At 50.1% G+C, this 16,867-nt stretch overlaps 1 long non-coding RNA gene across 1 annotated transcript; it reads left to right on the top strand.

The window, feature by feature from the left end:
* Positions 1 to 267: 267 nt before the first annotated feature.
* LINC02800 (long intergenic non-protein coding RNA 2800) lies at positions 268 to 11,718 on the top strand. Its single transcript, NR_027087.2, has 3 exons — positions 268 to 419; positions 2,492 to 2,627; positions 10,161 to 11,718. It is a non-coding gene; the product is annotated as a long intergenic non-protein coding RNA 2800 (long non-coding RNA).
* Positions 11,719 to 16,867: the final 5,149 nt, after the last annotated feature.

The raw sequence follows: 16,867 nt of genomic DNA on the forward strand, positions 1-16,867 counted from the left end.
CACATGTATACATATGTAACTAACCTGCACGTTGTGCACATGTACCCTAAAACTTGAAGTATAATTAAAAAAAAAAAAAGAAAGAAAAACCGAGAAGGCCTAAGGATGTCTGCTGAGTTGAGACTAAGGTGTAGTGGGTGATATGTTTGGCTGTGTCGCCACCCAAATCTCATCTTGAATTGTAGCTCCCATAATTCCCACGTGTTGTGGGAGGGACCTGGTGGGAGACAGTTGAATCATGGGAGCAGTTTCCCCCATACGGTTCCCATGGTAGTGAATAAGTCTTATAAGATCTGATGATTTTATAAGGGGTTTCCCCTTTTGCTTAGCTCTCATTCATTCCCTCTTGTCTGCTGCTACGTAAGACGTGCCTTTTGCCTTCTGCCATGATTGTGAGGCCTCCCCAGCCACTTGGAACTGTGAGTCTACTAAACCTCTTTTTCTTTGTAAATTACCCAGTCTCTGGTCTTTATTAGCAGCATGAAAACAGACTAATACAGGGGGTAAGGACACGTGGAGCAAGATTGGTTACTACATTAGTCCAGGGAAGACAATGGTGGTGGCAGCTGTGAAGGTGGTGAGACGTGGCTGGATTCTGGATATATTTCAAGGGGAGAACCAGTGAGATGTATTGAAAGATTTGATGTCAGGGGTGAGAGAAAAAGGAGGTCAAGGGTGATACTAAGGCTTTTTGTCTTGAGCCAACAAAGACTAGCGGTGCCTTTTACTTAGTGGGGAAGATGGTGGAGGGATGGTTTGGAGGTGCAAATCAAGAGTTCCATATTTAGACATGCTACATTTGAGATGCCTTTTAGGTCACCGAGTGATTGAGTAAAGACAGAGGTCAGAAAACTGAGCCTTAGGCTGGGCTCGGTGGCTCACGCCTGTAATCCTAACACTTTAGGAGACTGAGGTGGGAGGATCACCCAGGAGTTTGAGACCAGCCTGGGCAACATAGGGAGACCCCATCTCTACAAAAAACAAAACAAGTTAGTGAGGTGTGGAGGCACACATCTGTGGTCCCAGCTACTTGGGAGGTTGAGGTAGGAGGATCACTTGTGCCTGGGAGGTTGAGGCTGCAGTGAGCTGTGATCACACTACTGCAGTCCACCCTGGGCAACAGGGCAAGACCCAGTCTCAAAAAAAAGATTTAGCCTTGATTCCTTTTCTCAGGGTCCTATAAGGATCACAGTATACAATAGATTGGACTAGATCAGAGATGAAAACATAACTCACACGCATGCGGCCACATCCCTTCCAGTGCCGCTGGCAGATATCACAAATTCATCACAGCACTCAGGAATCCTCTCAACCCAGAGCTCTAGGCAGCCTCTACCAACCAAGTGGAGATGATACAAAAACGAAAACTCTCCATCATCCTGAACTGGTTGAGATACCCAAGAATGCGGTTAAAACCATGGGCTTGGGCCGGGCGCCGTGGCTCACGCCTGTAATCCCAGCATTTTGGGAGGCTGAGGCAGGCAGATCACAAGGTCAGAAGATTAAGACCATCCTGGCTAACATGGTGAAACCCTGTCTCTACTAAAAATACAAAAAATTAGCCGGGCGTGGTGGCGGGTGCCTGTAGTCCCAGCTACTTGGGAGGCTGAGGCAGGAGAATGGCGTGAACCCTGGAGGTGGAGCTTGCAGTGAGCCGAGATCGCGCCACTGCACTCCAGCCTGGGCGACAGAGTGAGACTCCGTCTCAAAAAACAACAACAACAACAAAAAACCATGGGCTTTTGGGCTAGAGAGGCCTGGGCTGCACAGCTAATCTTGCTACCAGCTAACTTGAAACCTCAGAAAAAAACTGTTTCTCAGTTTCTTCATCTGAAAAATTGGATTAGTAATAGTTCCTATTTCATAGGGCTGTTGTGAACATTGAGATCATCCAATAAAATTATTTAGCACAGTGCCTGGGACACAGTCAACCATCAATAAAAGTGGCAGCAGCAGCAGTAATAGTTGTTGGATGGTGTTACTCCAGCTTGAACATTCCAGATACATCCGTCTTACATTCTGTTTCTGACATTGGACAAATAGTGTAATGTTGGGGCTGTCCAGCAGGAGGCACTGCTGACATGTACTTCTCTATTGCCCACAGAGGTCCAGGAAGTGGGAGGCAGTTTTCCCTGGAGCAGTGTTCTCTGATGATTGCCCTGGCAGAGGCCTAGACTTTTCTTCCTGGTACAATAAACCAAGCTCTTGGCTCCTCCCAGACAGCAGTGTCTCAGCTTTCTTCCTGGGACTGGTCCTCTCTTCTCAGATCCAGTTCCTGGCCTCCTCCTGCTTATAGCCTCCAGCCAAGCTGCTGAATCTGGCAACCCAGGCCCTGGCCAACCTTTCCTTCTTGTCCAGGCCCCTAGCGGCCGCCAACTTCCCCAAAGCCAGCAGGCACGTGCAGGACATGCCAGCTTGGAATAGGTTTCCTGCGCCCTCTCTCTTCCCCCTCAACTCTGTAAAATCCCTTTTTTTGATTCCTCCTCTTCAGAGATGGAGCCGGGCAGGACTAACCCTGCTGTGCAGATGGAATAAAAGGCAGGGACCTGTTCCACGATGCTCCCAAGCTCAGATCACAGCGAGCTAAAGGGAACCTGGGAGGTGGGTCTCCTAAGCCTCAGGCACAGGTGAGTCACTCGCCACTCAGACCACACTCATCTTTCAGACTCAGGTGTTCACTGGGGGCTCAGTGGGCATCTTCTGTCTTTCGGCCCTGTGCTGGGCACAGGGCTTGACTAAGATGGAGGGAGACCGTGCTGAGCCTCGGGAGGCTGAGACACGGGCTGGGCCTCGAGACGGGGAGATGGGGGCTGAGCCTCAGGAGGCTGAGATGGGGCTCGGCTGGGGGATGGCTGCTGTGGATCATAACAGATAGACAGTTCTACCTACCCTGTGATAGGGGATGGGCAGCCAGGGTGCTGTCAGAGGACAGATTTCTGGATGCTTGTGGAGACCCATGAAACCACAGGCTCCCTAAAGCACGTGTCTTTTTAAAAGGGTCCATCTTGGATCCATCTTTCCCCACACTCACCGTTGAACATGATTCTCCAGCCCTCTATAGCCTCAATATCCCTCTCTTGGCCAAATAGAATCTCTTTCCTGATTCCCCCATCCCCCGCCAGGGCATACATCCCCACCTCCCACACACCCCTGCTGCCCACACATCCCTGCTGCCCACACACCCCTGCTGCCCACACACCCCTGCTGCCCACACACCCCTGCTGCTTAGCATCAGGTGAACTTCTGGGAAGGCCCTGGAAAGGGCCCAGCAGGTGGGGGAGCAGCCTCTGAACCACCTCCCTTTCTTCCCCGTGCCCTCCTGCCTCAGCCACCATCTCCTTCCATGTACCCCTCCCTTCATTCTTCCTCTTGGCGTGGCATCCACAGCCTACAGAATATCTGTCCCTAGCCCTTATCACTGTCCACTCCCAGCCTGGGTTTTGCATAAGGAAGATGCCAGGACTTATTGCTTGATAAACTCCAGCGTGCCTTTGCCTCCCTCCCTCCCTCCTTCCCTCCCTCCTGCCTACGAAATCTGCAATCTTTGGCATGTGTTTGTTACACGGAATGCCACCAGTGGGTCATCAGCTGTCACTGTGAACAAACAAGAAAAAGAAAATGCAAAGCAGGCCGCTGCTTGGTGTGCCGGTGCCCCAAACCACAATGGCACACCTGGTGGTTTTCGGTGGAAGGCGGCCTGGGTTCAGCCCACGTGTTGGCCTGGGGACATCGCATGAGTCAGCTGAGGTGGATAGTCGTTCTTATTTATGGTGATTAAAAATACCTCTGTTTTTCCTTTACATAAAAACAATACACATTAGCTGTAGAATAATTAGAACTAGAAACTTTGGCTGCAACAAACAAAAACCAAAGACGTACCTGTAACGCGCCCCCCCGCCGCCCCGACCCCCACCCACTCACGCACCTAGAAATGATCACTGTGAGCTGCTTGGGAGGTGCTCGCAGACCACATGCCTTTTTTTTTTTTTTTCACTTATACAAAATGAGCTCATACTGTACATATTGTTTTATAACCTGCCTTTTTTGTTGAACAATATATTGTGAGTAAAAACTGCTAACATTTCATTAGACTTACTGTGGGCCTGCCCTGTGCCAAGCACTTTGTTTGTACATCAAGGATGTCATTTAGTCAACCCTAAGAGGTCAACTATTTACTGCCCCCATTTTACAGAGAGGACATCGAAGGGTCAAGTACTCTGTCGAGACCAAGAGGCAGTAAGAGGTGGGAATCCCTGGCCTGGGAGGCGGAAGGCTCCAGCTTCTCAGTGACTGACAAGTCGCTCTCTGGTTCGGGGCCTCGGGCTTCTCATCTGTAAAGTAAGGGGTGCTGGGGCTGGGCCAGAACAGCCTTCTGCACTGGGGAGGGGGCAGCAGACCCCACTCCCACTTACAGAGGCCACCCCCTCTGAGGCCTGCCTTCCTCCTCATTCTGAGTCTGACTCCCACTAAGCCTCGTGCCGAGCACTGTTCTGAGTACTAATGAGGTATGTATTCTTTCTTTCTTTTTAATTTTTTTAGAGAGTGGGTCTTGCTTTGTTGCCCAGGCTAGAGTACAGTGGTGCAGTCACAGCTCACTGCAGGCTCAGCCTCCTGGGCTCAAGTAATCCTTCCACCTCGGCCTCCTGAGTAGCTCAAAATACATGCATGCTCCACCATGCTCAGCTGATTTTCTTTGAGATGGAACCTTCCTCTGTCACCCAGGCTGGAGGGTGGTGGCATGATCTCTGCTCACTGAAACCTCCACCTCCCAGTTCAAGGGATTCTCCTGCCTCCCGAGTAGCTGGGATTACAGGCCGGCACCACCACACCTGGCTACTTTTTGTATTTTTAGTAGAGGTGGGGTTTCACCATGTTGGCCAGGCTAGTCTTGAACTCCTGACCTCAAATGATCTGCCTGCCTTGGCCTCCCAAAGTGCTGCGATTACAGATGTGAGCCACTGCACCCAGCCCCAGCTAACTTTTTTTTATTTTTGTAGAAACAGGGTCTTGCTATGTTGCCCAGGTTGGTCTTGAACTCCTGGCCTCAAGCAAGTCTCTCACCTTGGCCTCCCAAAACTCTGGGATTACAGGCATGAGCCACTGCACCTGGCCGGTAGGTGTTATTTCTATCCCCTTTGTACACAAGAGGAAACTGAGGCACAGAGAGCTAACGTAACTTGCCCAGCGTCACTCCATTAATAGGGGCAGAGTGAGGACCCAAACTTAAACTTTTCTGACCCCAGAGCTTGTGTTCTTAACCATTACCAGTTGCTTTGCAGCGTTGCTCTCCCCACAGGAAGAAAAACATTTTGATATATGTGTTCCTATGACTTAGGAAACATATGTATCGATATTTAACTGAAATAAAAATTTCCCAAAGTAAAAACATATCCTTACTATGCAAGATGCCCTCTAATCAATTAAAAGAAAATTCTGGCGACAGCCACTACATGTCTTACAAGACTCATAATGGATTGTGACATGTAGTTTGAAAATCGTTGCTAAGCCTGTCCCTCTGTGCCCTAGGGGAACCCTCCTTATTGGGTCCAAAGGCTTTCACTTGATCCTGGGAAGCAGCTGACATAGGGACTGCGACCCCATATCGGAGGAGAGGGAAGTGAGGACCAGAGAAGGGTAGGGCAGGTCCTGCCGAGGTCATGCAGAGAGGACTGGAATTAAGATCTAGAAACAGGCAGAGGGCAAACCTGGGCAAAGCCGGCCTTCTGTGCAGGGAGCTTTATTCAACACAGCCCCTGTCATGTTGGTAACTACCCCTTATTGAGCACCTACCCTTTGCAGGGTGTCACATACTAGGCTTAGCTCAGTTAATCTTCAAAGCAACCCAGGCAACAGAGAGTTAGGAGCCCTGTGGTATAGTTGTGGCAGCTAAAGCTCAGAGAGGTGGAGTGACCAGGCCAAGGCCACACAGGGTGCAGGACGCCATGTCTGGTTTTGGTCCCCACTGTGTTTCTAGAATCAAGCTCAGGGCCTGAAACATGACAGGTGCTCAGGAAACATGTCTGTCTGTCTGACCCCAAAGGCTTCTCTTTCTGCCATTGCTCTGCGGTTCCCACTAGCCCCCTTTCTGGGAGGCATGGCCTTGGGGCAGAGCAGGCGCCAGGGTGGTTGGAGGCTTGCTGGGCGAGGGTCCCTGGAATGACACTCTTTGCTGAGTTTCGGTTCCAGGTCCCTGCATGCTTGCCTGGCCCTGCCCTGTCAGCTGAGAGGGAGGGAGGGAGGGATCTAGACCGCTCCTCTTGGCTGGGGTGGAGGAACCCGCCTGGCGCCTGGGCTCATGCGGCCTCTCCCACCCCCCTGCCACTCCCGGCTCACCTCTCACTCCCAGGCTGGCTCTGGGTCTCCCGTGGGGCCAGAGAAAGGCCGGTCCTACCTCCAGCCTGAGTTCGATTCCCACCCGTTGGGCTCCCTCTCCCTTCCCCAGCCCCAGGCACAGGCAGTTCCTACCCCTTCCCCATAAGAGAAGTGGTTGTGGGTGAGAGGGTTGAGTCTCAGGGTTAACCCAAGGGCTGAGCAAACAGATTTGGCCTTGCACTCTCTGTTCCTTTTGGGCTGTGCACTGTCGGTGAGTTTCCAGTCCCCGTCCCCAAGGTACAGTCCCTCAGGTAGCCCTACCTTCCCTGAGCAGGAAGGGTCTGAGCTCCTAGCAGGAAGCCCAGAGCTGACTCAGGAGATGGTTCTAGACCTGGGAGGGGAGGAGGGGAAGGAAGGAGAGCTAGAGGCCAGGGCAGAAAGCCAACAGCTGGCTTGGACGGGGCATTGTGTGATTTGGAAGGTGCCATGTGTCCCAGGGGAGTGGCATTTTCACCTCCAACCTCCTCTCTGCTCATCTGGACCCCACCCCTCCCCTTTAGCTGGCTCCACACTCCCTCCCTGCAGGAAGCCTTCTCAGGTGGACCCCACCCCACACTGCCTGGCATCACTTTGCATCCCCTGGGAGGGAGGGAGGTGAGGCTGAGACCAAGCCCAGTGATAACTCACAGGTGTGAGCCTCCCCATCGTAGACGCCCTCTTCCAGCCCAGGTTCGAAATGCTGGATCCCTTTTTGGAAATGGTCTCAGTTTGCAGATGAAATACACACACACACACACACACACGCAAGCACGCACACACACATGCACACACGCCCCTATCATTACTTGGGAATCCTGTGTTGGTTTTGGCTAGAAACAGATGTTTCCAAATTAAATTGTAGAGGATGTCTGTAAATTTTTACCCACCCACCTAACTGTCCTACCGGAACGAGGGAGTCCTGCAGTCAGATGGATTTGGGACCAGACGATGTAAGGATTAAATGATACAAATCCAATTTATCTAATGCAGACCTTCTCAGATCCTTTATATCCTTTAATGCACATTGTGAATCTCTGAGCATCTGCAGTTTCCAAAATTTGCTTGACCTCAGAATTTTTTTTATTTTTTTTGGATACGGAGTTTCGCTCTTGTTGTCCAGGCTGGAGTGCAATGACGTGATCCCGGCTCACTGCAACCTCTGCCTCCCAAGGTCAAGCAACTCTCCTGCCTCAGCTTCCTGAGTAGCTGGGATTACAGGCATGTGACACCACGCCCGGCTAATTTTGTATTTTCAGTAGAGACGGGGTTTCTCCATGTTGGTCAGGCTGGTCTCGAACTCCTGATCTCATGGGATCCTCCCACCTTGGACTCCCAAAGTGCTGGGATTACAGGCGTGAGCCACTGCACCCAGACATTTATTTATTTATTTATTTTAATATAGTAGAGCATCTCTTGGGTCTAGAATGCTATTGAGCACCTTTTGTGAAATGCTAGAAAGTGCAGACCCACCTTAGCAATAATTATAATAACACAACATACTTCCATGGACTGGAGACTTACTCTATGTCAGACTTAATGTGCTAGATATCAGCCTATTCTCAAAACAGATGGTGAGACGCGTATTATTCTGGAAGAAGGGAAGAATATCTAGGTCATTTGGGTGAGGTAATTTACCATAAGCTGCCAAGCTATGGATCTTGCATTACCCGAGTGATATTTCAAATATTTATTGACCCATATAGCAGAGGCACCGACCCATGTACTGGAGATGGGAATGTACCGGGATCCCCCGGTGGACTGGGCATTAGCCCTTCAGTCACTGGATCGTGGGGAGGTCTGGAAGGCTTCAGGGTAGGGGATGGTGTCCCTGGAGAATCAAGAAGGCTGAGAGACCCTTGGGGGACTCAGGAGAGCAGCTGCTTACGAACCAGTGTGGAAGCGTTTCAATATTTTGCCAACTTTGTGGATGTACTGGTGCTGAGTGTAGGCCTGGACCGGACCACCATAAACACCCTTCCTGCGCACTGGGAGGAAGCGGAATGCTGGTTTCTGTCCAGCAGCACATTTTGGTTTCATTTGCAAACTGAGAAACAGCCCAGGGTAAAGATCAGGCAGATATGTGTGTGAATCCCAACTCAGATTCTGTCTAGGCACATGGCTTTGCTTTGGACAACTTCTGGCCCTTTCTGAATCTCAGTTTCTTTATCTGTAAAGTGGGGAAACATGTTGCTCTCCTTATTGGGTTGTTGTGAGGATTAAATGAGGTGTTGCCCATGAAGCCCAGCACCTGGCGTATGTTAATTGCCCTGCAAGTGAGAGCTCTCACCAATAAGGACTGTTGACTTTAATTGTCAACAAAATTGTGAGCTGTTTCAGCCTTTTGTTGTTGTTGTTTTGTTTTTTCGAGAAGAGCCTCACTCTGTTGCCTACTCTGTAGTGCAGTGGCGCAATCCCGGCTCACCGCAACTTCTGTCTCCTGGGTTCAAGCAATTCTCCCGCCTCAGCCTCCCGGGTTGCTGGGATTACAGGTGCCCGCCACCATGCCCAACTAATTTTTTTGTATTTTTAGTAGAGATGGGGTTTCACCATGTTGGCCAGGCTGGTCTCGAACTCTTGACCTCAAAGGATCTGCCCCCCTCAGCCTCCCAAAGGGCTGGGATTACGGGCATGAGCCACTGCGCCCAGCTCAGCCTTTCTTTAGGGAAGAGAGCATAGGTTTGGGACTTTTCATCTGCCAAATCCTTCTTTCTAGACACTGTTGGACTGTAGATTGAGCAATGAAACTGGAAGGTAACACGAGAAATATGACCATGAGCAGCTTCAAGTTGCTGTTAGATTGGTTTCTGCAACATACCACCTTGCACAGGTTCCTCATGAACTTGGACAGAAGTACATTTAGCCAATCCGAATTTAGCAATGAAGTGTTCCTGTATAGGTCATCCAATTAAAGTACAGCAATGTCCCTGGCTGTTTATCCAATTAGAACTTGGCCATGTTCTGATCCTGTGCAGGCTGCCCAATGAGGACTTGGATCTGTTGTGTGCTTGTCAGTCACACATACAGAGCTGCTGGTTTGATCTCTGCCAGAGCTGAGTTATCATCATGAGTTAAGAGAGCTCTTTCAGGCCGGGCTCCATGGTTCGCACCTGTAATTCCAGCATTTTGGGAGGGCGATGCGGGAGGATAGCTTGAGGCCAGGAGTTCAAAACCAGCCTGGGCAACATAGTGAGACTCCTGTCTCTACAAAAAAATTTTTAAAAAAATTAGCCAGCCGGGCATGGTGGCTCATGCCTGTAATCTCAGCACTTTGGGAAGCCAAGGCGGGTGGATCACGAGGTCAGGAGTTTGAAACCAGCCTGGCCAATATGGTGAAACCCTGTCTCTACTAATAATACAAAAAATTAGCCAGGCATGGTGGTGCGCACCTGTAGTTCCAGCTACTTGGGCGGCTGAGGCAGGAGAATTGCTTGAACCTGGGAGGTGGAGGTTGCTGTGAGCCGAGATTGTGCCACTGTACTCCAGCCTGGGTGACAGAGTGATACTCCGTATCAAAAAAAAAAAAAAAAAAAATTAGCTGAGGGCGGTGGGACAGACCTGTGGTACCAGCTACTTGGGAGGCTGAGGCGGGAGGATCTCTTGAGCCTAGAGTTCGAGGCTGCAGTGAGCTGTGATTGCATCACTGCACTCAGCCTGGGCAACAGAGTGAGACCCTGTCTTAAAAAAAAAAAGCAAATTAATATTAATACTTAATAATAAAATTACTTGTGTTGTTTATAACAAATATTATTTGTTTTATTATTTCCTTGACAAAAACACTCTTTAAAATGACTTATGCCCATTGTGGGAAGGTCTCTGGAAAGGACACGCACTGGATAGAAAATTGGGAACAGTTTATTTCAAACAACAAAAGCAGCCCACAGTCCTCATGGATGAACTTTGCAGAGGGCCTCACAGCCAGGAACTTCCTTTGACCCCTGGGTGGCCTCGACCAGACCCTTCTCAGTGGGAATGGCCTTGGCTATTTGTGAGTGAGCTGCCTGCCCATTGCCCATGGGTCAGTCCATGGGTGGCTTGGGTCCTCTGTCCAGGGTGGCACCGACCTCAAGGCCAGTCACCTGGAGATGGGGGCCAGGTTGTGCAGACTTGCTACCCGCTTCCTGGAGCAAACAGTTGGGGGTGATCCCCAGAGGAGATGTACACACAGCATACTCCCAGCTAACGGCCTCAGCATTCTTATCGCTGCCCAGATGAGGCCTAGTTAATTACTGACCAGAGAACGGCGGCGACTGAATCCCCGGCATAAGCTGTTGCCTCTAAACGGTCCAGGGGGTCCTTGCAGCCTGGGGGCCAGTTTCTTTGCCCACCCTGCAAAGAGGTACATTCACCATTAACCACAGAAAGAAGGATTTGCGTTCAGTTCAAGGAAGGCTTATAATTCTCCAGGGGTGTCCAGACCCTGGGATGGGGCCTCCGGAGTCACAGAATTTCTTCTTCAAAGCAGAGAAACATGCCTGCCCAGCTCAGCATGATCCAGCTTCAGAGGCAGAGCGCCGATGGATGGGGTGTTTGGTCAGTGAACAAAGGGCAGCATGTGTGGCTGGCTCCCTGGGCAAGTAACTTTCCCTGTCTGGCCTCGGTGTTCCCATGTGTCAGATGGGGATGCTGGAGGACATGATTTCGAGGGTCCCTCAGTCCTTGCCTCATCCCCCTTGTCTGGCCATGCCCAATTCTCCCTCTGCTCCTCAACCTACACCCTCTTTCTTAACCAGACAGGCATCCTCCTGACCCTACTCCCCTCCTCTCCTCCACAAAGCCCTCTCTGCTTTCCTTCTCCTGTGCAAGCTCTGTCCAAGCTGCAAGATCTGACCAAATCACTTCTCCAGGAAGTCTGAAGCCACCTCTGGCTACACCAACGCTCATGAATCTCCCTCTCTCTGGGTGGTTCCACATGCAAAGCCAAAACCTCTGAACTTCTTCCAGGTTTCTGGAAGAATAACAGCCAATACTAGATAGCACTGCCTGTGTGCCAGGCACTGGAGCAAACAACGAGCACATGTTAACACATCTCATCCTCATAGCTCTGCTCTTATTCCCAATTTACAGATGAAGAAAGTGAGTCCGGAGGGGTTAAGCAACTTGCCCACAGACACACAGCCAGTATGTGGTGGCTGCAGTTGGCTTCAGAACTGTGCTACCCAGGAGGGCAGCCTCCAGCCCTGAGTGACCATTGAGCACTAGAGATGTGGCTGGTGTGAATCGAGACAAGCTGTGAGTGTGTAATGGACACCAGGTTTTGAATGGTTGGTGTGACAAAAAGAATGTACTATATCACATTGAAATTTTTATATTGATTTCATGGTGACATATTTTCCATATATTGAGTTAAATAAAATATATTGTTAACACTAATTTCACTCCTATCTTTACTTTTTGATATGGCTACAAGAAAATTTAAAATTATATAGTTAAAAATTATAGTTAGAATTATGTAGTTATAATTACATAGACAGTGCTGTTCTAAAATCTGTGTTCCTAAGCACTGCTGTACTGCATCTCTTGCACAAAGGTGGTGGTAGTGGTGATGGGGGTGGTGACGGTGATAGAGGTAGTGATGGAGGTGGTGATGAAGGTGATGAGGGTGATAGAGGTGATGGAGGTGGTGAGGGTGATGGAGGTGGTGAGGGAGGTGGTGAGGGTGATGGAGGTGGTGATGGAGGTGGTGAGGGTGATGGAGGTGGTGAGGGAGGTGGTGATGGAGGTGGTGAGGGTGATGGAGGTGGTGAGGGAGGTGGTGAGGGTGATGAAGGTGGTGATGGAGGTGGTGAGGGTGATGGAGGTGGTGATAGAGGTGGTGATGGAGGTGGTGAGGGTGATGGAGGTGGTGGTGGAGGTGGTGAGGGTGACAGGTAGTGATAGAGGTGGTGATGGAGGTGGTGAGGGTGATGGAGGTAGTAATAGAGGTGGTGATGGAGATGGTGAGGGTGATGAAGGTGGTGATGGAGGTGGTGTGAGTGATGGAGGCAGTGATAGAGGTGGTGATGGAGGTGGTGAGGGTGATGGAGGTGGTGATGGAGGTGGTGAGGGTGATGGAGGTGGTGATGGAGGTGGTGAGGGTGATGGAGGTGGTGACGGAGGTGGTGAGGGTGATGGAGGTGGTGATGGAGGTGGTGAGGGTGATGGAGGTGGTGATGGAGGTGGTGAGGGTGATGGAGGTGGTGATGGAGGTGGTGATGGTGATGGAGTTGGTGATGATGATGGAGGTGGTGATGGTGATAGAGGTGGTGATGGTGATGGAGGTGATGCTGGAGGAGATGGTAGAGGTGGTGATACTGGTGAGGTTGATGGGATGTTAGTCGTAGTGGGGTGGATGATAGATGAAGCCATCTTGCTATGGTCTAAATGTTTGTGTGCCCCCAAAATTTATATGTTGAAACCTGAACACCAGTGTGAGGATATTAGGATATTAGGAGGAGGGCCTTGGGGGTGATTAGATCATGAAGACACGGCCCTCATGAATGGGATTAGTGCCCTTATAAAAGAGGCCCCAGAGAACTCCCTTGCCCCTTCCATCAGGTGGGGTTGCTGTAAGAAGCCATCATCTACGAACCAGAAAACAGGTCCTCACCAGATGCCGAATCTGCTGGCACCTTGGTCTTGGACTTCTAGCCTCCAGAACTGTCAAGAACAAATTGCTGTTGTTTATAAGCCCCCCAGTTTATTGGCATTTTGTAATAGCATCCTGAACAGACTAAAACATCTGATTATAGCAGCTAATATTTTAAAAGAAATACGTTTTGCTGAAAAATACATGTCCACTGTAAAAAAAAATGCAAACAATACAGAGAAAGTGAAAGTTTCTCTGTATTATTTTATTCTTTTACTTCAGACATTTGCCACTAGTTACAAGGGAGTGCGGTCTTCCAGCCTTTTTTGATTGTTTGTTTGTTTGTTTGTTTGAGACGGAGTCTTGCTCTGTGGCCCAGGCTGGAGTGCAGTGGTGTGATCTCAGCTCACTGCAACCTCCGCCTCCTGGGTTCAAGCAATCCTCCTGCCTCAGCTTCCTGAGTAGCTGGGATTACAGGTGCCCACCACCACACCCAGCTAATTTTTGTGTTTTTAGTAGAGACGGAGTTTCACCATGTTGGCCAGGCTGGTCTTGAACTCCTGACTTCAAGTGATCCACCCGCCTCAGCCTCCCAAAGTGTTGGGATTACAGGTGTGAGCCACTGCGTCCAGCCTTCCAGCCTTTTTATGTATACAGAAACGTGAGGAAGATATATACTTAAAAATCAATGGTTTAATAATATTTATGTAGTTCTGTAACCTGTTTTCTCACCTGGCCATGTGTCGTGTCTATTTTTCTCATTAGTGTACATGGATTTGTTTTATTCTTTTTACCAGCTGCATAGTATTTCCCTGCATAATTCTGGCAAAGTCAATTGATGCCCACTCAGGTTGTTCCTGGTTTTTACTATTATAACCAGTGATATAATGAACATCTTGTACAGAGGTCTTTGAACTTTTGTGCCAGCATTTCTGTAGGATTGAGTTGTAGAAGCAGAATTGCTTGACTAAAGTGTCTGCACATTTGCTATTTTGCCTCAGATTGCAAATTGGTCCCTCAGAAATTACCCTCTTGAACATGCTATGTGCAAGTTCCTACTTCATCCTATTTTAGCTTCATCCACTTTTGCTAGGACAGGTGCAGTAGCCTGTGACCAGCCTTCCCACATTCACCTTGCTCCCCTCCATCTTCTGTCCTTACAACAGCCAGAGTTGCTTTTTTGAAATACAAACCTGACTACATCATTACCTCCCACTTCCCCCCACCCAAACCTTTGGGGGCCACACTGCCTTTATGACAATGGAGCTTTCCTGTGCCCTGTGAGGCCCCATGGGACCTGGCCCCTGCTAACCTGGCCAGCTTCTCTGATGCAGGCTTCCTCTCCACCTCTGCGGCCATGCCAGTTATCGAGTCTCCTGCACTCTGTTCTTTCCCACCTCAAGGGCTTTGCCTGAGCTGTATCTGCTACCTGAAACACCCTTTCCAGCCCTCATCCTACCCTTTGCTATTTGACTTCTGCTTATCCTTCACCTCTTAATCCAAAGGGCACCTCCTCAGGGAAGCCCTCCCTGACCTACAGCTCAGACTAGTCCCTCAGGGGATCCACCCCTCCTTCAACACACCTTTCACTATTGGTGGGCACATGTTTGTCTGTGTGATTATCCTCCTCCTTGAAGGAAAGGGTCACTCCTCACAGTACCCCCAGACCCCAGGGCAGTGTCTGGCTCCCAGACACTCAGTAAAGATTTCTCCAAAACAATTTTTTTATCATTTAATTGTTCATTAAATTTTGACCCATGAAATCAGTTTTTGTTTGACCCTCTCTGCAACCTTGCAAAGGAAGCAGGGCTTGGAGTATCATTGCCATTTTATAGAGGGGGAAACTGAGGCATTGAGAGGCAAACTTCTTCATCTGAAATCATTCAGCAGGTAAATGGCCAGGACGTGGGACTCAAACAGAGTTCTCCCGATTCCAGCTCTTCCACCGACACTTTTCACACCTGAGCTCATGTGGGGCTCCGAATCCCTCCTTTACTATCTTCAGAAAATTCCATCTCTCTCACTTTTTCTTTTGCTTCTATTGCTACATCTTTGATCTGGCCTTTTATGGTTCTGAACAATAAGAGACTCACAGAGGTGTTAGAGGGGGTTGGCCCCTTGCAGGTGAGGCTCAGGGGCTTCATCTTACACACGACAGAACCAGGGTGCAGAGAGTGCCTATCGCCTGCTCATGGGGACCCCCACAAAGCATGTTCATGCACCTAGTGAACAAAATATGCTGAGCACCTACTGTGTGCAGGTCCCTGCTCTCAGTGCTGAGGACACAGCAGCAAACAAGAGACACTCAGTCCTTGATCTCAAGGAGCTGACATTCTACAGGGGAAAGACAATACATAAACTCAGTAATTTCAGAATATAACATGTGTTATGGAGAATTATTTTTTTAAAGGAAAAAGGGATACAGAGTGACTGACCATAGTGGTCAAAGGGGCCTCTCTGAGGAGCTGACATTTGAGATGAGACATGAATGATGGGAAGGAGGGAGCCATGGGAAGTTGTGGAGGAAGAGCATTCTAGGGAGAGGAGAATATTAATGCAGGGGGCACAGCCAGAAGCCCCAGGTGCCTTGCGCAGAGTGAACAAGGCTAACAGTGGGGGCTGAAGCAGAAGGAGAGGAGGGCAGGGGCCAGAGAAGACAAGGTCATAGTGAGAACAGTGGCTTTTCCTCTAGTGTAACATGAAGCCAGTGGACAGTTCTGAGCAGGGGAGTCATACAATCTGATTTGCATTCTTCAAAAACCACTCTGGCTGCTGTGTGCAGAAGGGCTGTAGAGGGGCAAGGGTGGACATGATGGCAAGTTAGAAGTGGTTGGTGGCACGGACCAGGCTGGTGGAGGTGGTAGAAGTGATGAGTTCGATGCGGGACGTATTTTAACAGTGGACCTGGCTGGGCACGGTGGCTCACGGCTGTAATCCCGACACTTTGGGAGGCCAAGGCTGGTGGATCACTTAAGGTCAGGAGTTCTACACAAGCCTGACCAACATGTGAAACCCCATCTCTACTAAAAATACAAAATTAGCCAGGTATGATGGCGCATGCCTGTAATCCCAGCTACTTGGGAGGCTGAGGCAGGAGAATTGCTTGAACCTGGGAGGCGGAGGTTGCAGTGAGCCGAGATCTCGCCACTGCACTCCAGCCTGGGCAACAAGAGCGAAACTCTGTCTTAAAATAAACAAATAAACGGTGGACCCATGAGAATTGCTGATGGACAGGATGTGGGGCGTGAGGGAAAGAAGAGGAATCCAGGGTGTCTGCTGGGGTTTTGATCTGAGCACTTGGAGGGAGGGGACGGCTGAGCGGGGGCGGGGGGTGATGAGCAGGTACGAGGGGGTGGGGCTCAGATTTTGATTGGGGACTTGTTATGGGTGAGCTGTTAATGAGACACTCAAGCGGCCCAGTACAGTGGACAGGCGGATCTGTAAATCTCGGCTGGGGCAGAGGTCCAGAGAGGCACACACTTGAGAGGCATTGATGTAGAAACAGGGCAGGGAGGCCACCCGCCTCCTGACTCCCCGCCAGATGCTCCTTCCCTCTCTCTCACTCCTGCAGCCCTCCAGGCAGATCCTCCCGGGAGCAGGCAGCCAGGTGGGCCCCTGAGGAGATGCAGCGCCCTGCCTTCTGCTTTCCCCTCCTGCCCTGGCTCTGGTTCCTTGGCAAACAGCCCCGAGCCTCCTGGGCTGCTAGATTTCAGAAAAGCGTTCCAGTTTGGCAAAGTAAACACAGTCGAGGAGAAAAGCAACACCTTGCAAAACAGCTCCAGGCCCCCAAAGGAGAATTTTCTTGGTCCTTTCTTTAACTTTCAGCACTGGCCTCAAGCCAAGAATGTGTCCTGTATTTTCTTCCTTGGTCCCTCCCCAGTGCCCACCCCATCCCTGGTGTCTGAGATCCCCAGGGCACTAATCTGCCAGTGTGAGAGTGGAGCGGCTGTG

Source organism: Homo sapiens, chromosome 1 (genome assembly GCF_000001405.40).
Source record: "Homo sapiens chromosome 1, GRCh38.p14 Primary Assembly".
Taxonomy (NCBI): domain Eukaryota; kingdom Metazoa; phylum Chordata; class Mammalia; order Primates; family Hominidae; genus Homo; species Homo sapiens.